General features: G+C 37.7%; 1 protein-coding gene and 1 long non-coding RNA gene across 39 annotated transcripts in view; both read left to right on the top strand.

Moving 5' to 3' along the window:
- MECOM (MDS1 and EVI1 complex locus) overlaps positions 1-3,935 on the top strand; it is a 580,206-nt gene extending 576,271 nt beyond the window's left edge. For all 38 annotated transcript variants that reach the window (NM_001205194.2, NM_001366473.2, NM_001366466.2 and 35 more), the window contains one exon: positions 2,399-3,935. In NM_001205194.2, coding sequence (NP_001192123.1) covers positions 2,399-2,533 — 135 coding nt within the window. In that variant the 3' untranslated portion in view covers positions 2,534-3,935. The remainder of the gene's footprint in view (positions 1-2,398) is intronic.
- LOC107986051 (uncharacterized) overlaps positions 23,249-26,018 on the top strand; it is a 35,428-nt gene continuing 32,658 nt past the window's right edge. Inside the window, exon 1 of the long non-coding RNA XR_001740574.2 lies at positions 23,249-23,327. This is a non-coding gene — a long non-coding RNA (uncharacterized LOC107986051). The remainder of the gene's footprint in view (positions 23,328-26,018) is intronic.

Below are 26,018 nucleotides of genomic sequence, written 5' to 3'. Positions count from 1 at the left end.
AATTTTGTGTAGAGATGGGGTTTCACTATGTTGCCCAGGCTGGTCTCAAATTCCTGAGCTCAAGCAATCCTCCCACCTCAGCCTCCCAAATTACTGGGATTTGTATAGGTGTGACCCATTGCACCTGGCCATGGTTTTTTCTTTTTAAATTTCTTTTAATTAGTCCACCAAAAATGCTTCTTATTTATTGTAAGATATAATACCTAAACACTCCAGAAACTGCCAGAAGTGACAGAAAGCAAAAGGGCCTGAAAACCTACAGATAAGGGATATAATTATAATACATTTTAGTACCAGCATTTTGACATAAAGTCCCAACCCAGCTGGACTGTTACTGTTATAAGAAACACTAGCATTTTGCAATCCTAAGTCATATTTTTCTTGTTACTTGATCATGTTATATAGATTAGTTTGAAAATGGTCAGGCCCTTTTGCAAATTCACTTTATTTCATAATATCATTCATTCGTTCATTTATTAACTACCAGCTATATGCTGGGCACTGATCCTTATATATGAAAATGTTTATTTCCTTTGATTACCAAAAGGCAGATATGCTGTTTTGCCATTTTCTAGAATCTAAAGGCTCAGATGCTTTAGTCAAAGCATTCATATATTTATTCTGTAATTTTTATAGTCTGTAATTTTTATAGTGATTGAATTGAAAATAGTTGACCAGTACAATAGTAGCTGCATTTTGCATGTGCTCTCCCTCAAGAAACTCTATCCGGTAAAAATTAATTTCATGGTAATAGGTACTATTTATGTATTACCTCAGTCAGGCACACTGAGCTAAACACTTTATGTAAGTTAGTGCATGTGATTCCTCCACAACTCTTGGAGGCCAATACTGTTATTACTATCATCTGTTTTATAGGAGGAAAGTAAAGCTTAAAAGGTTAAGCAACTTGCTCAAGATCACACAGCTAGGTGAGTAGAGGCAGGTTTAAAGGCAGGATTAAAATTTAAATTCCAAAATTTTCTTTGTACTCCTTTTTATCTTCCCAAATATCAGAATTTGTTTTAACTCTTTCAGAGTACTCTTTATCTTGTTCTCTAAAAGTAGGTACATAATCAGAATAGATAATTTAGGTTGAATGCTCACTTAACCCATACTTTAAACTCTGCCAAAGATAAGTACTCTATATTATTTATTCTTAATTTCTTAGGATCTATCACAGAGCCTGGCATAGAGTAGATGCTTAAGAAATATTTGTTAAATGGATCATGAGATATTGTAGAAGTCCAAAAGGCAAATTGCATACATAAAAGTCAAATGTGTACATTTAGAGCGATGACCCAGCAAATCAAAAATCAGCCTACAAGGGTAAATTTTCTAACTAAATGCAATGATTACGGAAGAAACCACAGACTGGCCACATGTCTCAGCATGACTCCCAGAGATGAAATTCTGCCTAACAACAGAGGCATTTTGTCTTTGTTTACAGACAGTGGAATGTCTTTGGCAGGACTTTAATGATTCCACTTCAGCAGCATTTTGACAAGCAAGTTTAGCAATGGATGAGACCAACAATAGCAAATCAACAGTGAAAAGTTCACTTACAAGTCAAGACCAAACATTTCATTTGAATATTTTGCTTGGCAGTAAATAGGGGACTCTCTGAACAGTTATTTAAAATTTGACATGATAATAGGGAAGAAAGAGTACTTCCTCACAGAGCACCTCCATGCACCTTCTGCTCAGCAGACACTGGAAAACAAGTTGATTAGAACACTGTTGGGTCTTGTGTTTGGTTTTATTTTTTTGGTAGAGCTGATTTGATCCACCTCAACTTATGGGTGCCAGGACTGAGTATGTCAAGCATGGAGGGAAATTGGAGAAAAGACAATGGATTAAAAGTTGGGCAGAAATACATTTTAGTTATGCTTCTCCCACTATCTATCTAATTGAGTGACTTTGGGCAAGTCACTCAAGCACCTTCAGTGCTTTCGGTTATAAAGTGTAGGAGTCAGGCTGTATCCTCTACTAGGCCACAGCTCTGTCAAGGTAGGTCTATATCTTATTAATATTTGAGGTTTCAGTCATAAGCACACAATAATATTTTTGGTGAATTGAACATATGTAGTGGATGGATGACTGTATTTATAGTTGAACAGGAGACTGACTCATTTTTCTCAATGGAAGCACTATTTGCATTTTAGGTAGGATAGTTCTTTTTGGTTCTGTAGCGTGTGTCACTTTTGGGGCCCCTAGGCACTAAAGGCCAGCAGTAATCCCATGTGGTTTCTACAAAAAATATGCCTTCTTTGCCAAACACACCCATGAAGGATGCCCCTACTCAGGGTCCCATCCCTTTCCATTTACCAACAATATTCTTTGAACTAAAAGTGATGTTTTTCAAATGCCATTTACTGAGTCTCTCTCCTTTTTACCCCAGGCATATGCTATGATGCTGTCACTGTCTGACAAGGAGTCCCTCCATTCTACATCCCACAGTTCTTCCAACGTGTGGCACAGTATGGCCAGGGCTGCGGCGGAATCCAGTGCTATCCAGTCCATAAGCCACGTATGACGTTATCAAGGTTGACCAGAGTGGGACCAAGTCCAACAGTAGCATGGCTCTTTCATATAGGACTATTTACAAGACTGCTGAGCAGAATGCCTTATAAACCTGCAGGGTCACTCATCTAAAGTCTAGTGACCTTAAACTGAATGATTTAAAAAAGAAAAGAAAGAAAAAAGAAACTATTTATTCTCGATATTTTGTTTTGCACAGCAAAGGCAGCTGCTGACTTCTGGAAGATCAATCAATGCGACTTAAAGTGATTCAGTGAAAACAAAAAACTTGGTGGGCTGAAGGCATCTTCCAGTTTACCCCACCTTAGGGTATGGGTGGGTGAGAAGGGCAGTTGAGATGGCAGCATTGATATGAATGAACACTCCATAGAAACTGAATTCTCTTTTGTACAAGATCACCTGACATGATTGGGAACAGTTGCTTTTAATTACAGATTTAATTTTTTTCTTCGTTAAAGTTTTATGTAATTTAACCCTTTGAAGACAGAAGTAGTTGGATGAAATGCACAGTCAATTATTATAGAAACTGATAACAGGGAGTACTTGTTCCCCCTTTTGCCTTCTTAAGTACATTGTTTAAAACTAGGGAAAAAGGGTATGTGTATATTGTAAACTATGGATGTTAACACTCAAAGAGGTTAAGTCAGTGAAGTAACCTATTCATCACCAGTACCGCTGTACCACTAATAAATTGTTTGCCAAATCCTTGTAATAACATCTTAATTTTAGACAATCATGTCACTGTTTTTAATGTTTATTTTTTTGTGTGTGTTGCGTGTATCATGTATTTATTTGTTGGCAAACTATTGTTTGTTGATTAAAATAGCACTGTTCCAGTCAGCCACTACTTTATGACGTCTGAGGCACACCCCTTTCCGAATTTCAAGGACCAAGGTGACCCGACCTGTGTATGAGAGTGCCAAATGGTGTTTGGCTTTTCTTAACATTCCTTTTTGTTTGTTTGTTTTGTTTTCCTTCTTAATGAACTAAATACGAATAGATGCAACTTAGTTTTTGTAATACTGAAATCGATTCAATTGTATAAACGATTATAATTTCTTTCATGGAAGCATGATTCTTCTGATTAAAAACTGTACTCCATATTTTATGCTGGTTGTCTGCAAGCTTGTGCGATGTTATGTTCATGTTAATCCTATTTGTAAAATGAAGTGTTCCCAACCTTATGTTAAAAGAGAGAAGTAAATAACAGACTGTATTCAGTTATTTTGCCCTTTATTGAGGAACCAGATTTGTTTTCTTTTTGTTTGTAATCTCATTTTGAAATAATCAGCAAGTTGAGGTACTTTCTTCAAATGCTTTGTACAATATAAACTGTTATGCCTTTCAGTGCATTACTATGGGAGGAGCAACTAAAAAATAAAGACTTACAAAAAGGAGTATTTTTCCCCACTGTGTGGTATTTTTCCTTCATGCAATTTTACTTTCCCTTTGGGATCCAATGATTTAAAGATATGATGCTGAGATCTTGATGCCCTACAGATATGTGGAATGTAGAGTATGTTTGTTTTGTTTTGAGATAGCATAAATGATAGTTCTTGGGCAACAATGAGTCTCGCTTATTGTTCTGTACTTTCCCCATGTGGTGCAGTCAGGGCTCAAGTGCACCACAACCCAGTCCTGGTATCACTTCACGTTCACAGCATCCACTTAAATTAGGACAAAGAGCGACTTACAGGTTTTCTACGGATTGTATGCCAAAAGGAACTCAGTTTCTTATTTTTGTTTTTCATTATACGAGTAGTGTTAACTGATTCACAAAGGGGGGAAACCTTTGACTTTTCTATGCTCCTTTTAATTTTTTGTCCACATGCAAAATATCCTTTTTTCATTGTTATAACTGCGTGTAAACAAGATTTATTTTTTCTTTCTTTGCTTGTGTCAAAAGAAAAAAAAATTACACTGCATAGTGCTACAAATTCTTCAAAATAATAATGTAGCAGTTTCCCAATATTCCATCATTTGATCTACTATAATTTCCTCCACCACTTTAATTTTGTTGAAGATTTTTCTGCTATTTGCTAGTCAGCAATTATATTTTAATTTTCAAGCATATAATTGTTTCTGTGTGTTCATATATGTACATACAGAGTTGGAATGTGAGTAGTAGTACTTCCATAAGATAAATTCTCTGCTGGGGGAGCAGTTATTTATTTTTTTTGCTCTTTAAGCATAATGCCAAGTTGTTTTAGAGTAGACTTATTCTAATTTTGGCTGATCGTAGAGATTTAACAAGGCCTGAATAAATTAGTATGACATGTAGAAATAGATTCAGACCGATTTTTTCATTTGTTTATTCATTCTTAGCCACAATATCAGATACATAGAGAATCTCCCTGCATCCTTTCTAAATGTGGGTAGAATAAGAATTAAAAATATAGGGTATGTTTATTAATTTTTTTTACAGAAAGTACGCACAGGAAGTATTCAGAAAATATATTTAAGCTATAAATCCATTAACTAAGGCAAATAAGAATTTAGTATTTACGACATAAGAATGGCATATTTGAGAAAAGAGAAATCTGGAATATGCAGGGCATTTTTCATTGTTTTAAAGAATGTACCAGGCTGGGTGTGGTGGCTCATGCCTGTAATCCCAGCACTGTGGGGAGCTGAGCCAGGAGGATCACTTGAGCCCAGAAGTTCCAGACTAGCCTGGGCAACATGGCCAAGCCCTATCTCTATAAAAAATACAAAAATTAGCCAGGAGTGGTGGTGCAGGCCTGTAGTCCCTGCTACTTGAGAGAGGCTGAAAGGTGGGAGGATCACTTGAGGCTGGGAGATGGAAGCTACAGGAATGTACCACTGCACTTCAGCCTGGGTGACAGGGCGAGACCTTGTCTTAAATATATATACAAATTCTGAAGCAGTTCAAGTATTCCCAATGCAACTGGCTTCTTGTTAGGCTTTGAGCATAACTTTTCAGTTGTTTGCTAATACTTGGTTCCTCCGATTTCCAAAAAGGCATTCAACCTTACATTTCTGCTTGTTTCCTCCATTTATTTAGCCAGTAGCCCTTCACTACATGGCCCTGGAGAGGGACAGTGAGATATGGTGGAGACAATCTTGGACTTGGAAACTGAAGGCCAGGGTCTGAGTTCTGGCTCCACCACTTTACTGGCTTCAAGGTCTTGGGAAAGTCATATATCTCCCATTCCATCTGTGAAACAACAGTAATAATAACTGCTGCACCTACTAATTCATTGGGTTTCTGTGAATGTCAACAATCAAAATAACTTTTTGAAAATATTTGATAATACTTCTATAAATACAAAACATTTTATAATTTTTGTGGTAACAAAGGAATAGAAAATGTGTGTGTGTATACAGAGTTATGAGGAAAAATTTATAATACAACAGAAATCTAAACTTAAAAAAAAACTGGATATGGAAGTTTAGGGAAAAGTTAGGTATTTCTTGAAAAAATATGTAGGTTTAAAAAAATAACACAAGCCAAACTTCTTTAAAACATAAGATGCCCAGAATTATTGTTTATTTATTTATTTATTTATTTATTTATTTTTCTTCCTTTTTTTTTTTTTGAGACAGTATCTCCCCTCTGTCCCCCAGGCTGGATTGCAGTGGTGCAATCTCAGCTCACTGCAACCTCTGCCTCTCAGGTATAAGGGATTCTCTCACCTCAGCCTCCAGAGTAGCTGGGATTACAGGCACGCGCCATCATGGCCGGCTAATTTTTTTTGTATTTTTAGTAGAGATGGTTTTTCACTATGTTGTCCAGGCTGGTCTCTAACTCCTGGCCTCCAGTGATCCACCCGCCTCGGCCTCCCAAAGTGCTGGGATTACAGGCATGAGCCACCGCTCCCGGCCCTGTTTTTTGAATTGGCAAATAAAAATTGCACATATTTGTGGTATATAACAGGATATTTTGATATATGTATGCATTATGGAATGGCTAAACAAGCTAATTAACATATACATTACCTTTCTTTGTGTGTGTGTGTGAGGAGAGCACATATACTCTATCCTCTTAACAATTTTCAAGTAATCAATATATTGTTATTAATTGTAGTCACCATGATGTATAATAGATTTGTTGAACTTTTTTTTTTCAGTATAATTTTTGAGGACTCTCAAAAAAATTCAAGAAAAGGTAAGAAAACACATTCATAATTTTATTTTTAGATAATGACCATCTACCAATATTAATTTCCGTAAAGAATAAAGAAAATTATTATTCATTTTTAAACTGCCTGTTATGTTGATAGCACGCTGGAAATGGGTATATTCATTACCGTAACTAACCTTCACAATAGGCCTACAAGCCGGCAGTCTTATTCCTGTTTTATGGATAAGGAAAACTGGAGCTCAGAAAATTTAAGAACCTTACTCAGAGGAGCCCAGCTGACTGCCTGGGAATCCAGGAGGGCTGACTCCTTAGCCCACACTTAGCTGAGAGTCTCAGACCTCCTGGTTCAGGCACAGCTGAAGAAAAGCCAAAATGGGGCCGGACGCGGTGTAATCCCAGCACTTTGGGAGGCCGAGGCGGGCAGATCACGAGGTCAGGAGATCGACCATCCTGGCTAACACGGTGAAACCCCGTCTCTACTAAAAATGCAAAAAAATTAGCCGGGCGTGGTGGCGGGCACCTGTAGTCCCAGCTACTCGGGAGGCTGAGGCAGGAGAATGGCGTGAACCCAGGAGGCGGAGCTTGCAGTGAGCCAAGATGGCGCCACTGCACTCCAGCCTGGGCGACAGAGTGAGACTCTGTCACACACACACACACACAAAAGCCAAAATGGAATATTCCAAAACTGAGGAAATGTGCACCCCTCTAATCCCCACAGTGAGGCTGTCAGGATGCAAATATGCCGAGGAGACATTTAGGCATCTGACTCTTGGCTGTGAAGGTTTTGAAAGGTGAGCGCTAAGGACTGGTTGCCAGGCTTTTTAAATTCAGGTTATCTCAAGTCAGAACCAACAATACTAGTGCTTTTGAAAGATTCTAAATGTTTCCTTAATAAGAGCCTTAGTTACCTTGTTTGCAAATTCCTAGCAGGTGGCTTAAGTTTCCTCTTTAGTTATTCTTTTTGTAAAAAAAAAAAAAATATTATCCAAAACCTACATTTTGAATGTATTAACACGGAAAGACTTAAGCCCTTTCTGAAATGATTAGCAGACTCATCATGAGAGAAAGCAAATGCAGCTCAGAAGTATTCTCATTTCATTCTCTCCAGGCTTAAAGAAACTTAATGAATGGAAGGAATACAGAGAGAAGTGGGAAGAACGGAGGAAACTTACCAAACAAATTGGGTCCAGGAGCCCTGAAGAGACTTTAGTGAACTGGACAGCTATTCCACAAGAGAACTGGGTTAGTATTGAATTGTTCCTTATATTCCGCATAACCATTTGTCGATACAAGAGGCTGTCCTTGGTGCAACATGTATTTCAAAAAAGAAGAGAACTACTTCACATCCATTAGAATATAGGCTAATATTTTTAAAAAATCACTGGTGAGAGTGTGGAAAAATTGGAACCCTTTGGATTGTTGATGGGCATATAAAATTGTGCAGCCACTATAGGGAATAGTATAGTGGTTTTTCAAAAAGTCGTGATTTCACTTATGGGTATACTCTCAAAAGAATTAGCAGGGTCTCTAAGAGATATTTGTACACTCATGTTCATAGCAGCATTATTCACAGTAGTGAAGAGGTGGAAGCAACCCAAGTGTGCATCAACGGATAAATGGGTAAACAAAATGTGGTATATACATGCAATGGGATGTTATTCAGCTTCAAAAATAAGGGAAATTCAGACACATGATGTAACATGGATAAACCTTGAGAACATCATGCTAAGTGAAGTAAGCCAGTCACAAAAAAACAAATAATGCCACTGGGCGTGGTGGCTCACGTCTGTAATCCCAGCACTTTGAGAGGCCGAGGCAGGTGGATCACTTGAGGTCAGGAGTTCAAGACCAGCATGACCAACATGGCGAAACTCTGTCTCTACTAAAAATACAAAAATTAGCCAGGCGTGGTGGCACACACCTGTAATCCCAGCTCCTCAGAAGGCTGAGGCAAGAGACTCACGTGAACACAAGAGGCAGAGGTTGCAGTGATCCGAGATTGTGCCACTTCACTCCAGCCTAGGTGACAGAGCGAGACTTTGTCTCAAGAAACAAGACAAAACAAAACAACAAATAATGTGTGATTGCACTTATGAGGCACCTAGAGCAGTCAATTCATAGGAAAGTAGAATGGTGGTTGCCAGGGGCTTGGGGAGGTGGGGAATGGGAAGTTGTAAATGAGTATAGAATTTCAATTTTGCAAGATGAAAAGAGTTCTGGAGATTGGCTACACAACAGTGTGAATGTACTTACTACTATTGAACTGTGCATTTAAAATTTTAAGATGATAAAAATCTTTGTTATGTATATTTTACCACGAATGACAAAGAAAAAAAAATACAATCCCACTCTGTTTATATGGTTCTTTTGACAGAAAGAATTTAATTCTATTCAGCTCAAGGAGAGAAGCAAATTATCAGGTGGATGTGGAACAGCTTACACAATCAAAGGGAAATCTGGAAAACCAGGCCTCATACACAACCCAGAACCAGTGGATAGGCAAGAGCAAGAACCAATAGGTAGCCTTGGGCTGCTATCATCAAGATGCATCAATTGTCATCATTTTCAGTCTTTTTTTTTTTGGTCCCTCTGTGTCCAGATTTAAATTTTAGAAATAGAGTAAGAAATTAGCCCTGCTTGAGATCCCAGCACCATCAAGAGCACCATTAATCCCACCTGAAGGTGTGGGGCAGGAAAGACTAGTTCCTATACAGTCGTATAGAGAGGCTCCTCACAAATAAGTGGGAATAAGTTATGGACATCAAAAACAACAAATATCCATACCACCTGTATCACTGGAAAACTAACATATATAAGGGCCAATAATTTCAGGCCAGGTACATAATTTGTTAATGTCAGGGGTAGAGGGATAACATAGATAGCACATACAAAATTAGAACTGCTCCAGAAGGACCTGTAATCCTAAAACATTACAGTTCTTTAATTGTCTTAGAGAATTCTTGAAGAATTATTTTGCTTTAAATGCTTCAGTTATTAATTTTACTGATGACTCTGCAAGACTCACAATGAAACTGTAGCCAAGTAGCCAAGTGTTACCGAGAATTAAAGCACACTGATTCATAAAGACATTTTGGGGGTGTATGCAAAAAAAATGGTCAGGAAGAAACTAAAGCTTTTGTCTAAATCAAAAGCATTCAATAATCAATATCTAGAAAGGAGAACAGAAACCACTCTAAATATTTTAAGCAGAGAAGAAGGATTTAATGCAGAGGGTTGCATTCAAGGGCATTGGAAGGGCTAGGAGAACAAAAGGAAGAAAAAGATGTAAAGGAGAGACCAGGAAATAACTAAGGGCCCCACTCCCCACGGAGTTACAGGAGTGTGGCTGCTGTTGCTGCTGCCTGGATGTTGCCCTTATTGCGGTTGCTGGAACCACTGATTGCCTTCACTTACCTGTCACTATTACTGATAAAGTCACCCCTCCTCCTGCCTTCTTACCTCCCTCAACTGCTTTCCATGGTACCTCACTGGAAACCAGGTAGCAAGAGAGTGTCGGGGGTGAAGATTTGGCTCATCAGGGCCCCTAAGATACAGTGGAATAGGGAAATGGTGCTGGTTACCAACAGACTATATCTGGCATAGAACTGCCTAAACTGGACATACATACCTAGTTAGTGGAGAAAGCCTCCAATAGCTCCCTATTGTTCTTCAAATGAATATCATCAGGTCGACATGGCCTCCAGGGCACCCCATGACCTAGTTCTTGCCTACCTGTTTAGTCTTTCCCTACTTGCCTTTCTCAGATTTACCGGATTACTTTCAGTCACCAAATTCAATTTCACTTCCAAGGACTGTGCACAGCATATGTGTGAACTTGGAGCACTCCTATCTTCCTCCAATCCAGAATCCCACTCCTCCAGTCATCCCCTATATTCTCACTTGGCTAATTTAGTTTATTCTTCAGATTTTAATGTACATGTTAGTCTTTCAGTGAAACATTCCTTGATATCTTCTCACTTTCTCTCACCTATTAGTGTAAATTAACTAGTCCTGTTGTGTCTCTCATCAAACAATTTGCCACACATTCAATGCACCTATTGCAATCTGTAATTGTATACATAGGTATTAGTGTATTATTTAAGAACTCTATTGCTAATGTCTTAGGCTCCATGAATGAACTAACTGTATCTACTTTGATCAATGCTGTTTCTCCAGTGACTACTATGGCACATTGTGTCTATTCTATACATTTTATTAAATAATGAATAAATAGATAAATTATCTAAAAGGACATATACCAAACTAGTATTCAGGGTTACCTCTAGGGAGCGCAGTGGGTAATTTTTTATATTACACATTTTTGACTATTTGATATTTTCAATAAGAATGAATTACTCTTGTTTTATTAAAAACATACTTCTTTTTATGAGCATAACCCATGAAAAAGAGATTCTCAGTTTAGGAATTTAACCTAAAAATTTGTTAGCATTACATACTAAGATTTGCGAACATGGATGTTGATTAAAACATTGATAATAATAAAATAATTGTTATCTACAAAGTAGTCAGTGAAAGAGACTCAGCAAAGTAAACTATGCTGTCTGCCTGTTTAAGTACATGAGCAGATAATCTCTATATGTTATTAACTGAAGAAGCAAGTTACAAATATCTGGAAGCTATATCATGTAACATTTTACTGGTTGGCAAGATTATGCATGAATTTCATTTGCTTTATTCTTGTTGTTTGTCTGCATTTTTACATTATCTAAAAGAATGTGTGGCTTTTTAATAAGACAAACTTTACAAAAACAAACAAATTCTTTTAAATTAGTTAAGCAAAGAGTAAATTACATAAAGAGAACAAAAAGAAATCTTGTGTGTGAGAGTGACAGGAGCCTTCTAATCATGCACTGTGAGGGAGGGCTGAGCCCAACCTGCTCACTATGCAGGTAACACAGTGAGATCTCAAAAGAGGGATGGTGGTTTTGTCTAAGGTGCAAGATCACATAGCTGATTTGGAGTCCAAACCCAAGTTTCTTCTTTCTAGGCCACTACAATGAGGAGTGGGTTATGAGCAGAGTGGGGTAAAATCCTGGTATCCAACAAAGGAGGTCGGGTCAAAGACTTCTGTGATAAGTTCAGGGGTTAGATTACCTCCAAATGTGCTCAGATTGGCTCTATGCCACAAAAGCCAAACTCAACTTCAGCTTGTTTTCATGTGTCACAAATGAAACAAAATATGTCTTAATGGCAACAAACGTATTGTCCATATTATAAAAGTAGAGTGTATTATCCATTTCCCACATGTTGATTCATAGCAATTTCGTTCCTGTTTGGAGCTCTAACTACTTATCAGAAATGGTGATGAACTAATAGTGATGAACAGAAATAACCAACTAAATAGTACTGAGCTCCTGTAAGCAAGAAAGAAGTGTTAAAAGCATCTTATGTAAAAATTCTGCCCTATTTTGACATCTCAGAAGGCAAAGCTCACTTTCAATACTTTCTCTCCATTATTTCCCTGCAGGATAAAAAGTTTTAGCTCCTTCCAAGCATTTCTTGTAGGAAGCAGTATCTTTAAATCAGGTTAAAGAAATCAGGAGAAAAAAAGAATCAGAGACCTCCCAAAGAAGCAACATTTACGAGTCTAGCAGGAGGCCAGCTAGTGTCATGACCTTGTCAGAAAATATGTCCTTACCTCCACCGTTGAAGTCATCCTGGTCTGTGATAATCATATGCGCTTCCTTTAAAACAATAATATATTATTTTACGAGGGATGACATATTAAGTGATTTCAATCAGCAGTAGTGAATCTGATCCTTTTCTCCGTGATAGTTATGGGAGGAAACGTATTTTTAAGAGGCCAAAAGAGGATGAAAATGGATGTAAGGGGACATATTTGAGGCCCTCCCTGAGCGGGTAAGACTGGGCTGTAAGAAGCTGAGGATGGTGGCAGCTATCTGAACAATCTGTCTTCATGGGCTGGGAGAAGGTGCCATAGGTGGAGAGAGAAGAATACAGCTTTCATTTTTGTTTTGTTCTGCTTTGCTTTGTTTTTATCAAGGACCAGTTCTTTCATCAACATTCACTTTCTAAAGATGAAATTAAGGACTAAGGTCTTCAATTTGACAGAATAAAAAGGCAGTAACAGAAGGATAAGTGGGAAATCTCAATGGACAATTTTCAATAAGTGAATATATTAGGATAGTAGGAGTAGGAAGATTCAATTGGCCCCATGGCTTTGTAAACCTCTTCAGAGCAAAACACACTGACTAAAACCTAAAGATTTAGATTGTTTACTTCCAAATGTCTTTACAGAGAAAAATAGTCTTTATGAAAAAGCATCTCCCCATTAGTATCACTAATTTAGTGTCAACTGTTATTTAAATGGGTAAATTGGTGGCATTTTTTTTACTGTTCTTGCATATATTTAAAATTAAAAATTTTCTGTTCGTATTCTTCTAAGTCCAATAATTTTTGTGTATAACTAACTAAAAAGTAGTTGCTGGGTCATTTCATTTTTTCCTAAAACACCATCCAAAGGTACAAAATGTTAAAGAATAATTAGAGATGGCTCGTGCCTGTAATCCCAGCACTTCGGAAGGCTGAGGTGGGCGGATCACCTGAGGTCAGGAGTTCGAGACCAGCCTGACCAACATGGAGAAACCCCGTCTCTACTAAAATAAAATAAAATAAAATAAATACAAAATACAAAATTAGCCAGGCATGGTGGCGCATCACTGTAATCCCAGTTACTCAGGAGGCTAAGGTAGGACAATCGCTTGAATCTGGGAGGCGGAGGTTGTGGTGAGCTGTGATTGGGCCACTGCATTCCAGCCCGGGCAACGAGAGAGAAACTCCATCTCAAAAAAAAAAAAAAGAAAAGAAAAAAGAATAATTAGAGAAAGTGGAATTGCTCTCATTCATGTTAGCATTCAGAAGCACTTTAGGACTATTGCATAGGCTTTACTGGGTACCACAGTTCTTAGAAAGGCAACAGCAATGTTGGAAAGGCACAGATGTAGAGTCGAAGAGATCTGCAGTCTTATCCTTTTTGCCACAAACTAGTTGTGTGATCTCACCCAAGAACAGTGAGCCCCACATTTTAATGATTTAGATAGCAACACAACTTTTGCCTTATCTCTAAGCCACTTGTATCATTATTTATTTAACATTTCTTTGTCTTGATTCATTTTTTACAGCTTGATAATTTTATTTGAAAAGAACATGTAAATAGAAAACTACTTGCTATAAATATAACTTAATAATAGAAATATGCACAATGAAAAACTACAATATTATTAGATTTTAGTGAGATACAGTTGCTCTTTAACTTATGATGGGGCTACATCCTGATCAACCCATAGTAAATAGAAAATATCATAAATAGAGAATGCATTTAATCCACCTAACTTACCAAACGCCATAGCTTAGCGTAGCCTCCCTTAAACATACTCGGGACATTTACATTATCCTACAACTGGGCAAACTCATCTGGCAACACAGTACGCTGTATAGCATATAGGTTCTTTACACTTGTGGTTGTGACCTAGACTGAGAAAAGATCAAAATTCAAAATTGGAAGTACAGTTTCTACTCAGTGCATATTGCTTTTGCACCACAGCGACATCGAATCATCATAGGTTGGGGACCATCTGTACTTGTGGTCGATGTTACTACATATTGAAAAGTACACATTCTTGTTAGGGAGATGCATGTAACTAGTTCTGTCTAATGGACTGTTAGGTGAAATGACATTTCACACTACTGGTCCAAGTAATTTTTTTTTTTTTTTTTTTGGAGACAGAGTTTTGCTCTTGTTGCCCAGGCTGGAGTGCAATGGTGCGATCTCAGCTCACCGCAACTTCTGCCTCCCGGGTTCAAGAGATTCTCCTGCCTCAGCCTCCCGAGTAGCTGGGATTACAGGCATGCACCACCATGCCCAGCTAATTTTGTATTTTTAGTAGAGATGGGGTTTCTCCATGTTGGTCAGGCTGGTCCTGAACTCCGGGTCTCAGGTGATCCGCCCGCCTCAGCCTCTCAAAGTGCTGGGATTACAGGCATGAACCACTGCACCCGGCCTACTGGTCCAAATAATTTAATTGCATTGCACAATTCTCTCTACCCTCTTCCTATGAGGAATGTGAAAAAGAATGTGAAATGTGAAAAAGAAAAAAGCTTCAAGTTTCAGATGACACAGTTCTAAGATGGTGGAGCCTCAGCCTTGGTCTCTAAGTGACTGTGGTGCATACCTGCTTTCATCCTGAATACAAACCCATATAGGGCATGTACTGTAAATAAGAAATGTGTTTTTGTTCAGTTTAGGCTCTGAGACATTGGATGTGTCTTTTGCCCACAGAAAAACCTAATCTATCCTGATTAATACAACACTGTTTCCTGCCTGACTGTGGGCTTTTTGTCTACTTGTTCTTTATTTTAAAAGGGGATATTATGAAGTGTTAGAGAGAGGTTAAAGAAATATTAGCTCTAATTTGAGATTTTCTTCCTTGTGTGTGATGAAAAACTTAGGAAAAATTAAAATGAGAACAATTTTCTTTCACGTACTTCAAATGTATCCCCATTCCTTAAAATATAATAGGAAAAATCAGTCAACTCTTTGCTTTAAATTGCATTATCAAGAAAATGATAGGAAACCACTGGCTTTATGATGATGAGAGAAAAATATCTGAAGATGGCAGTCACTTAGCATACAATAAAAATGTTTGGCAGGCTATATTTTAATGTTTCATGACATTTTGCAGTGTAGCACAGTATTTTGAAGGGCAAATATTTCTTTAGCACCATTTTAGGCTCGAGATAGAAGAAAGGATGAAATTTTGGTTGCGGCAAGCTTCTCTGAGCAGACGACATTCATGTAGAGACCTCATTGTTGGAAAGAAGTCCTCCATGAACGATCTGGATGAAAGTGTAGCAGGTAAAGGGAACAGTATGTAAAGATCTGCAGACACCCTGATAGATGTGGTGAGGGAGTAGAGTCAAGGAGACCAGATACCCAGGGAACAAGTTGTAGAAGACACAAAAAAGTGTCTCATTTGAAATATGAACTGTAAAACTAATTGAGGGTTTGGCCTGCAACGTAGCCTAATATTACCTAAAACAATAGTTATCATTCACTGAATTCTTACCATGCACCCAGCACTGAGGATAATGCTTTTCTTCCACTTCTTTGTTTTTTAACCTTCACAACAATCCTGCCTGTGAGATAGGCAGTATTATCATTCCCATTTTCTCATCTAGAAAATGGAAGCAAAAGAGGTTAGGAAACTTACCCAAGACTACACAGCAGGTCCATTAAAGAGCTGGGAATCCACCCAGGTATATTTGACTCCAAAGGCTGTGCACTCAATCACTCTTCCGTCCTGATGACAAGGAATGCTATTTTACTTTTCCACTGATTAACCAGCAATTCCATTTTTCTCTATTAACTGTGTCCTGCTGCTTGTCTTTTGAACATTTGGATTCTGATCATGAAGACAGCCTAGGATATATCCATGTGCTTAGAATTTTGCCTGTATAAACAAAACACTTTGCAGAGGAATGCAAGGGTTGAGGGTTGCAAGAACAGTCCAGCTATGCAGAATAGGATGGATGCCACTTAACTTTGACCAATTACTTACATATGTCTTGAACAAGAAAACTATTTGTTGGTTTCCTACAATTATCCATGGAACGGTGCAAAGTTCTGGGTCACTTCACGGTAGGTGGTTGCTTTCCAAACAGTCATTTTTGTATGTACACAAGTTTGTGTGAGTATGAAAGGATGGAGAGGGAATGCAGAGGGCAAGTGAAATGACAGATGGATTAGCAGTTGGCCAGTGGGATGTGGTATTAACAAGTTAGCTTTAAAGAGAATCTCCATTTATGTGAGATAAACTTGTCATAGCAAGAGGAAGCACAGTACAAAATGCACATGGTTTGAAACATACACACCCAGGTAAGAAATATGCCTCTGTTATTAACTAATACATGACCATAGTAAGTTACTTTCTCTTTGATCCTCAGTTTCTTCAACTGTGAAATGGGGATAGCAATAACTACCAAATAGTTTTGGGGAAAAATGCAAACATCGGTTGCACATGAAGAATTTAGTGTGAATTCATGTTCAATAAATAGTAGCCATAATCAGTTGAGTTTCACTGTCATCCCTCATTATATTTTTCTTTTTAATTTTTTTTTTTGAAGCAGTCTTGCTCTGTCCCCCAGGCTGAAGTGCAGTGGCATGATCTCGGCTCAGTGTAACCTCTGCCTGCCAGATTCAAGTGACTCTCCTGCCTCAGCCTCCCGATCTTTTTAATTTTTATTAAGTATTTCATTCATCTTTTTAATAGGTAGTATCTGCTCCTGGTAAAAATTCAAAAGTTCTAAAAGAGTACAGTAAAAAAAATGAGCTTCCTTTTCTCACTTGGCAACTTGGTTCCCCTTCAAATATGCAAATCCTGTTATAAGATTCTTCAATATTTTTCTAGAAGATATGTGTATTACTCCTTTTATTTCTCTCACAAGTGGCAGCATACTATATATTTTTAATTTTTTATTTAATTTACTTGAGATCACTGCATATAAATTCAAATAAAACTCTCTTCTTCTTGTTCTCCTTCTCCACTTCTCTTTTTTCAAGTACATAATATTCCATTGTATCATAATTTGATTGGCTAGTCTCCTACCACTGGACGTTTGGGGTGATTCTAATATTTTGCTATAGGGAACAGTAGTTTAGTTAATATCTTGGTAAAGAGTCATAGAATTGCAAGGTCAAGGATTATGGCAATAAATGCACCTCTAAAGATTTGTCACTGGTTTACATTCCCACCATTGGTATGTGAGGGTGCTTGTTTCCCCACACCAAATAATCCAGCTTCTCTTTTTTTGCATCTTTGGAAATCCAAGATGATAAAATATGATGCATTTTTTTTTTATTATGAGTAAGGTTGTGTGAATCTTTTCATACATTTTAAGACCATCAGGGTTTAAAAAAATATTTATAAGGTGTCTGCTTAGTTACCTCTTTCTACGTTTTGTCTGCTTTTCTATTGGGTGGTTTTGTTTTCCAAGGAGGTCTTTACTTAAGGAAATAGCCTTTAATTGTTATAGTAATTATAACTGTGTTAGCTTTTGTTTTTTTTTTTTTTTTTTAGTTTTCACTTTGTGAAGATTGTGTATTTTTGTAGTTGAATTAATCGGTCTTTTCCCTTTTGAGGTTTACTCATGTACAGACCAATGATCCACACTGATTATTTTAAATTTCTATTTTGTTCCATCTAAAGTTTGTTTTGTTGTAAGGTACAATTACAAGGCAGAGATTCTGTTAAGTTTCCTAAACATTATTTAATAATAATTGGTCTTTTTACCACTGATTTGAAATGTCCCCCTTTCATATATTAGATTTTTATATAAATTTTGGTTTATTTTGGTGACCTTCACTCTTTTCATTACCCAATCAACCTACTGATAAACCAGTAACACAGTTTTAATCAATATAGCCTTATAATAGGTTTTATAGGTTTTCGAGCTTTTCTGTGCAATTATGTATGTTGTACATAGCTCATTCTCAGGACCATTTTATTATATGTTTAATGATACCTCCCTTTCCTTCACCCTCCAAAACTGTCCAGTGCACATTCTGCATAACTAATGAGCCAACCTACAATTATTTAAAAATTTCAGAATTTCTTGGGTATTATCACTTGTTCATTTAAAATGGATTTTTAAATCAGCTTATATAGTTTCACAAAGTCTTATTGACTTGTGTTTTTTTAACTGGGATTCATTAATTTTACAAATTAATTTAGGTAGCATTGATACCTACCTCATCCCATACCAAAAAATAAAATCAATTCCAGGTTAATTTTATATGTAAAAGTAAAAGACAAAAATTTAAGATAACATATAGTCAAAATATCTTTGACTTTAATAGAGAAGGTATATAAGAAAAAGACAGACAACCTCAATAGAAAAAGAGAGAACCTCAATAGATAAAAAGGCAAAATACATAAACGGACATTTCACACAAGAGGATATCTGAATATTCAACTTCATCAGAAATCAAGGAATACCAATTAAAAAGCCTCAGTGAGATACTGCTTCACACATACCAGACTTACAAGATTAAGACTGACAATATCAAGTGTTGGTAAGATGTGGAGGAATGGTAACCCTCCCGCATTTCTGGTGGGCATATAAATTGGTATAATCCCTTTAGAAAATGGTTTAAATGTTATCTATTAAAATTGAAAATATATTATCCCATATGATCTAGCTACTCAACAGAAATGTGTACATATATGCACCATAATTCATATACAAAGGTATTCACAGCAACCTTAATAGCTCTAAACTGTAAGCACTAAGTATACATCAACAGTAGAATAGATGAGTAAACCAATGATTGTGGTATTTGTATATAGGAAAATACTGTATAGCATTAAAAATTAATGACTGCAGCTACATGCAACAGCATGGATGAATTTTCCAAACACAATTTTAAGTGAAAGAATTTAGATGCAGGGAATACATACTGTGTTATTCAACTTGAATTGAGTTTTAAAAAGGCAATACTAATCTATGATAACGGTAGTGAGAATAGTGGTTACTTTTGCATAGGAGGGAAGGACCAATGATATAGAGAGCTTAAGATGGAATTTCTGGGTGCTAATTATGTTCCATTTAATTTAGGTGATGGTTACATGGGTGTGTTTATTTTATGATAATTGATTGAGCTGGCACTTATGATTTATGTTCCTAACTGTGCTTTAAAACACGTTAACGTATATGTATGCATACAAGTAAATATAGCATTTTACCTTTAATCTGCTTGCTATTTCATTACTAACAAGTTTTAAAAGTCAACTTATTTTACATATTTTATAATAAATATTTTTAAAATCCATTAGTTTCTTGTCTTATTCCTTTTTCCTACTTCAATGTGCATTCAATTTCAGGCCTTTTAGGTATTTAGTCATTTATAAATAACATTCTTATATTGCTATTTATTCATTGGTTTCATCTGTAGATACTCTCTTCAGATTCCTGTTATGGAAAATAAAAATTTAGTTGTCCTATGCAATCCCTCCACACTCTTTCCTCCCGTCTTCCCAATACAGTTACATAACAATTACTGAATAACTCATAATTAAGTGTTTAAAAATTATGACAATAAATATATTTTGCATATGATTATATAAATATTATTCACAAATCACTAATGCATTACATTTTATTTTTTATTAACTCTTGTTTTCCCGGAGTTAATACTTAACCTAAGAATATCTTAATCTTTTCCAATCTACCTGACAGTCCTTACCATTGACATAAATGTATATATTTTATACATTTCCTCTAACTTGTTTTTCATAGTTATTAAAATATCAATCATACAACTATTGTCTTCATGAAGACTCCCCAAATGGTTATATTAATGCAGAAACTCAATTCATTGTTCTCTAGAAAACTACCTTCCGTAATGTTTCCTCTGCAGTTTGGTTCACAGCATCATCTAATAGAGATACCTGTCTCCACCTTTTCTGCCGCATGGAATCTTTCATTGAGGTCTGCCAGTTCCTCCTCACAAAGTTCTCTTGTATCTGTTCCAGTGTCTTCCTTTTCTCTCTTTTCCTCCCTGGCTCTAGCGTGGCTGATCAAATAGACTTCTGTCTGGTTTCCTGGTTCCAGTCTATTCACACATCAGCCCTTTACATCATTAACAGATTTATTTTTCAAATCACAGGTCTGATCATATTATGTTGCTGGCAAAAACATTTTAGCAATGTATTTTAAAGACAATTATAATGCTATGCTACCGTAAGATAACATAGAAAAATTCTTATGATATCATGGTAAAGTGCTGAAAACAGAATTGTTTATAAGCTGCAAATTAAAATCTTGTAAAAGTTAGCATATACTTTAGAAGGAAATATATCTCACTGTTCATTGTGAGGGTGGGAGAGGAGGAGTTTATGGATTTTTTATTTCCCCTAACAAAGGAGAAAGTGTGAAGCCTTTATGAAACTGTCTGTGAACATACACACAAAATTCTACCCAAGTAAGTCTCCAGATGCTTCGCAGACATGGATAAGACGATCCCCAAAGGATGGTGTATAGTTTAACCAGACAGACAATGGAGGGAAGCATATTCTAGGCAAAAGAAACCCCTGGGTAACAGCCCAGAGCATGAGAGAAAATGCTGGCCTCAGGAAGCTGCAGTTTGGATGGAGTTGGATGCATATGGGGAGGGAGTAGCAGATAAGGCTGGAGAAGTCAGATGATCATAAATCCCTCAATTGATGAGAAGAGTGTGGATTTATACTGCAGGCCATCATGAGGAGCCACTGTAGAGTTTCACAGTACCAGAATATGATCAGATTAAGAATCTAGAAAGCTCCCACTAGGAGAGAGGTCTGTGGTGATCACGCCCAAAAACAGAAATTCTGGGAAATTCTACTATTTCAATGACTGATGACACACTAAGCACCCAAGAAAGCCAAATAAGAAAGGGCAGAGAAAAAGGGAGAAAACTGGGACGGTCATGTGACACTGAGAGAGGAGAGTTTTGAGGAGGGATTGGTCAAGTGTCAAATGGACAAAACCAGAAAAACATTATCGATAACTTTAACAATAGGGGTTGCAAGATAGAGGTAAATAAGCCAGATTATGGTAGCTTCAGAAAGCCCACCTGTTGTATTTCCAAGGCCCAAGGCAAAAGTATGAATGGAGGCAAACTTACCCCATCTCAAAGCTAGGAACCAGTAGAATGAACTGTTAAATGTGTTCTATACTCCCAACTTAATAAATATACCTTGTAATCACCTGGAAGGCTTGAATTTCAAACTCTTGCATTCCAGAGTTCTGCTCTAGAATATGATTGCTTGGAGAGGTCAATCTGAATACCCTGCACCTCCAACAGAAGATCCTCCTTTTTCTTCCCATCCCAGTAAACCTTATATTGTGAGGAACTCTGTATACACACCTGTGTGTGTGACCACTGCAGCTACAAACCCAAACTCTGTCCACACCTCTTTCCCTGCTAACACCCAACCTATGGCCACTCCTTGGCTTGAGGTATGCCCACTAGCAGTGTGCTCTACCCTCTAGAGAACTGACTGGAGAAGCATCCCCACCCAGAAAAAAGATGGAAAAAGCATATTTACATACTTGGAGGTAAAACACATGCTTGAGAGAGTAAGAGATGGGGAAATAGAGTATTTGAGAGCGTGAAAAGAGTGGAGTGGCTCACAGAGCAAGTCCCTGCAGGAGGTAAGAGGGGTTAAGATCTAGTGCAGAGATCTGTGAAGAGGGCCTTGGCCTTTGCAAGGAGGGAGGGAGGGAAACTATGAATGCAGATCAATTTTTAGGTGGAGAGGGAGCTTAATAGTTGTTCATACTCTAGGCTTTCACTTTCTCTGTGAACTAGGGAAAAGCAGGATTGAGACAAATGAGGAGAGTACGCCTGACTAAAGCAGTTAGCTGCAATTCTTAGAGAACTCCTTATTGCAGTGCTTGGGAGAGGTACTCAGACGAGTGAAAGACCACCAAGTGGTCTTCAGGATTAAGCTGAAAATAATTCCTGGTTGCTGCAAACTGTGTGACCATGGGATGGATTTTTCTTGGCTGTGAAGGAACAGGAGACATAATGTTCACTACAAGGTAAATGCAGGATCATGCTCAAAGGTGGTTTGGTGAACATTTAAAGGGAAATTACATAAAGATTTCTGAGATTTTTTTTCTTAATATCAAGTCTCTGAAAACAGAAATGGAAAAGATCTCCTTCCTCTCCCCAAGCAAAACTGCTTGTTAGAAGGGACTCCAAGAATGCATGCCTCATTTCCAAAGTCCTGGGTAAGGAAGAGAGCTCTACTTCCCTTAAGAATTATTTCAGAGCCTAACAGTTATTGTAGCCAGGAAGCTTATTTTCTCTCCTCCTGATATTCAGTCCAAATTATGTTCTTCTTGATTTCAACCTATTATTGTTAGTCATTTCCTCATGGTTAGCTTAGGAATCTCTATCCCTTCCTGGTATTTACACCTTCCAAATATTATGTCGACTTATCACCTGACCTGGCAATAACTGTTTAAAAATACATTTTTGGTTTATATATAGGATGATGGTTTTACATCCTATAAACACACTATACATGGATGTCTAGGGAGTAGGGAAAATACGCTTTTGTGTGAGTGAAAATATGTTGGCCATATATACCTGATATATGTAATTATAATCTTCATAATCATTCATTTCAGATTTGCCAACTTGCACATGTGGAAATGTTCAATTTGTAATGTGATTATAACACAAAAACAAAGCATGTTTGATACCTGTGGCTTGGTCGTTTCATAGTAACTGCAGAAAATTCAAAAAACCGTGTTACATTTCATATTCCTGGCCAAGTCAAACTCTGAAAGTAGCTCTATAATTCTTGGGGAATCTCTTTAAGCAGACTTGTGTCAAGGTCAATTAGAATCCAAACAGCCTTTTTCTAATTGGGGTGAGGTATGCAGTTGAATAATTCTGTCATTAAGCAAACCCCTTATAAAGGTTACAACTCCAAGGCAAACCTCAGCCCCAGGGCTGAATAAACACAGGAGAATAAGAGTGCAGCATTCCACGACTGGCACCTTCACCTCATAATCCCTGAGGAGAGGGTTTTGGATTTCTTTCTGTGCTATTGCCATCCACTTCTCCTTCTACCCATGCCATTTCTCATACCTGGTAAGGATATAACAGAATTAAGGGTGCAAGTGTAACTTTTCTATTAGCTTTATCCTTGTCAATAAGCCATACTGTTTTTCCTTCTTTAGGATGAGAATAATGGAGAATTCTACAGAACTGGTTCAATTTTTGGGTAAATCCGTATTGACTGTGGCATTCTTGGTTTATTCCAATTTGAACTCTTCTGTCTTTCTAAGACTTATCTCTCCCTAACTTTTCTCATTCCCCCAAGCTCAAAGATACATATCTTTGTTCATGCTATTGCTTCTGACAGCGATACTTGATCACTCATAAAACCTCACAGGCTTGAGAAATTGGCTGACCTCGCTCAAATCCTGTCTCCACCAGTTATAGCCTGTGTGACAATAGGTAAGGTATTTAATGTTTCTAAGTCTCAATTTCCTTGGCTGTAATGGGTTTACTTTAATAGTAACCTTACGGTTTTGTTTGGGGGAAGTAGAATTAAATTAATATGCTAAGTGCCTAATAAAAATAATAATAATCATCATCATAACTAATTTTGCGGTGTAGGCAGGTATTCCCGAAAAAGAGACTTAGAAATGGAGACTTATATGCAGGAAGTTTATTGGGGATTGTTTTTGGAATTAACACCTGTGGAAGTGAAAGAAATTGAACTATGATGCAGTCACAATAAAAACCTCAGCCTGTCTTCTGGAGAGCTCGGGAGCTGGGAAGGCCTTTAGAGTTGTCGCAAATCATGGCGAGGGGTCTGGTTCTTTAATTCCAGCATCTACTGGTCGTTGGATAAGGAGTGGTGCTGCAGAGGAAGCATGGTCTTGGATGTCTTTGAAGGACTGACGAGTACCGAAGTAGAGACATATGGATAGCACACTACGGTATTCAATAGAGACTATTCTTGCTGGGAGTGGTGGCTCATGCCTGTAATCCTAACACACTGGGAGGCCAAGGTGGGCTGATTGCTTGAGCTCAGGAGTTCGAAACCAGCCTGGGCAACATGGCAGAACCTTGTCTTTACAAAAAAAAAAAAAAAAATTAGCCAGGAGTGGTGGTGTGTGTCTGTAGTCCCAGTTACTTGGGGGCTAACGTGGGAGGATTGCTTGAGCCCAGGAGGTCGAGGCTTCAGTGAGCTAAGATCAGGCTACTGCACTCCAGCCTGGTGACAAAGTGAGACCCAGTCTCAGAAAAAAAAAAAAAAGAAAAAAAGAAGAGACCATTCTTGGCATTTCTTGGATCCACTTCCTAGGAGCAACTCCTTCACAGTTCTGTTGGATGTCTTTTGCTGAGGAAACTTAAAAGAAGAGTGTTAGTGGTATAAACATCAGACACTGCTACTGTAGTTGGTCTTGAGTCTGCAACTGATACTCATTCTCTCCCATCTCTGTCATTTTAAATTCCCTTGGTTGGCACATGAAGGTTTAGATGACTTATCTTATGGCGATGATCCAGAATCTCATTGCCAAGAGGTCTGATCTCATTGTCACCATACCTTTGTTAGTCTGTGGTCACTTCATTTCTTCATTTACCATCAAAATTGGCAAGGGAGTATCAAGAGACACCCAGGTGGATCACATGAGTACTGAACATATTCCTTCCTGACCCCAGTGTATGACAGCAACTCTCTCTACTCGTGATGATCAAGGTTAATTATCCCTGCTAGCATAGTAATTTCTTTCTTTGCTCTTGGTGTCCTGACATGCAGAGACCAAAGTGATCAGGCAGCAACTGCAGCTCAAGGCTTAGTATAATGTCTCCTTCTGAAAGCACTTCCCTTTAGGTATTATAGTCCCTAAACTTGCAGGTATGGGAAGCACAAATTCCCCAAGTCAATAAAAGTAATGGCAGTAAGACCACTCCTGTTTTCTTTCCTTGGGTCTTGGACCCAGGTATTCTAAATATTAAAGACAGAGAACCATATAATGGTCATTGGTTTAGGTTATATAACTGCATCATGAAGTATCCTACTTTATGAAGGATAGGGTCTTATCTTCACGGTCTATCATCTCCAAGCTGGCTGTAATTGCACTATTCCATTATTCTATCAGGCCAGTTTGGTGGAGCAGTATGTGATATAACCAATGGCTCCCATGGCCCTGTGTCCACTACCACACTTTCTTTAGTCTAGAGTGTTCCTTGGTCCAATGTGATGTTATGTGGGATCCTGTGTTGGTAATCAAACTCTGTGCACTCTCAGCTAATGATGGTGGGTGAGGTCCTGCAAGCAAGAAATGCAAGTCCATACTTAGAATGCATGTATAAGATGAGTTGCTGCCCCTTTCGAGGAAGAAGGGGTCCAATATTGTCAACTTGCCACTAAAATGGATGTCCTTGAGATACAATACTATAAAGAGCACACAAGTTGGACTCTATTCCTCACAAGCTGGACATTTGACAGTGGAAATAGCTAGATAAGCTTCAGTGAGGGAGAGCTCAGGCTTTTGGTCCCATGCAGATTGTCCATTCCTTCATCAGGCTACACCATTCATGCATCTATTGTGCAAGTACTGGGGCTGCTGATGAGCAGTCTGGCTAACATCAGCTGACTAGGTCATTCATTCTTTTTTCTTCTTCTACTCTTCCAGCTTTATCAAGCTACAACTAACAAGTAAAATTGTATATATATGAAGTACACAATGTGATGATTTGATATGTGTGTATATTATGAAATGATTACCACAATCAAGTTAATTAACACATCCAGCATCTCACATA

Source organism: Homo sapiens, chromosome 3 (genome assembly GCF_000001405.40).
Source record: "Homo sapiens chromosome 3, GRCh38.p14 Primary Assembly".
NCBI classification, from domain to species: domain Eukaryota; kingdom Metazoa; phylum Chordata; class Mammalia; order Primates; family Hominidae; genus Homo; species Homo sapiens.
The sequence above is the reverse complement of the archived record's forward strand: the minus strand, read 5'-3'. Positions and strand labels throughout refer to the sequence as shown.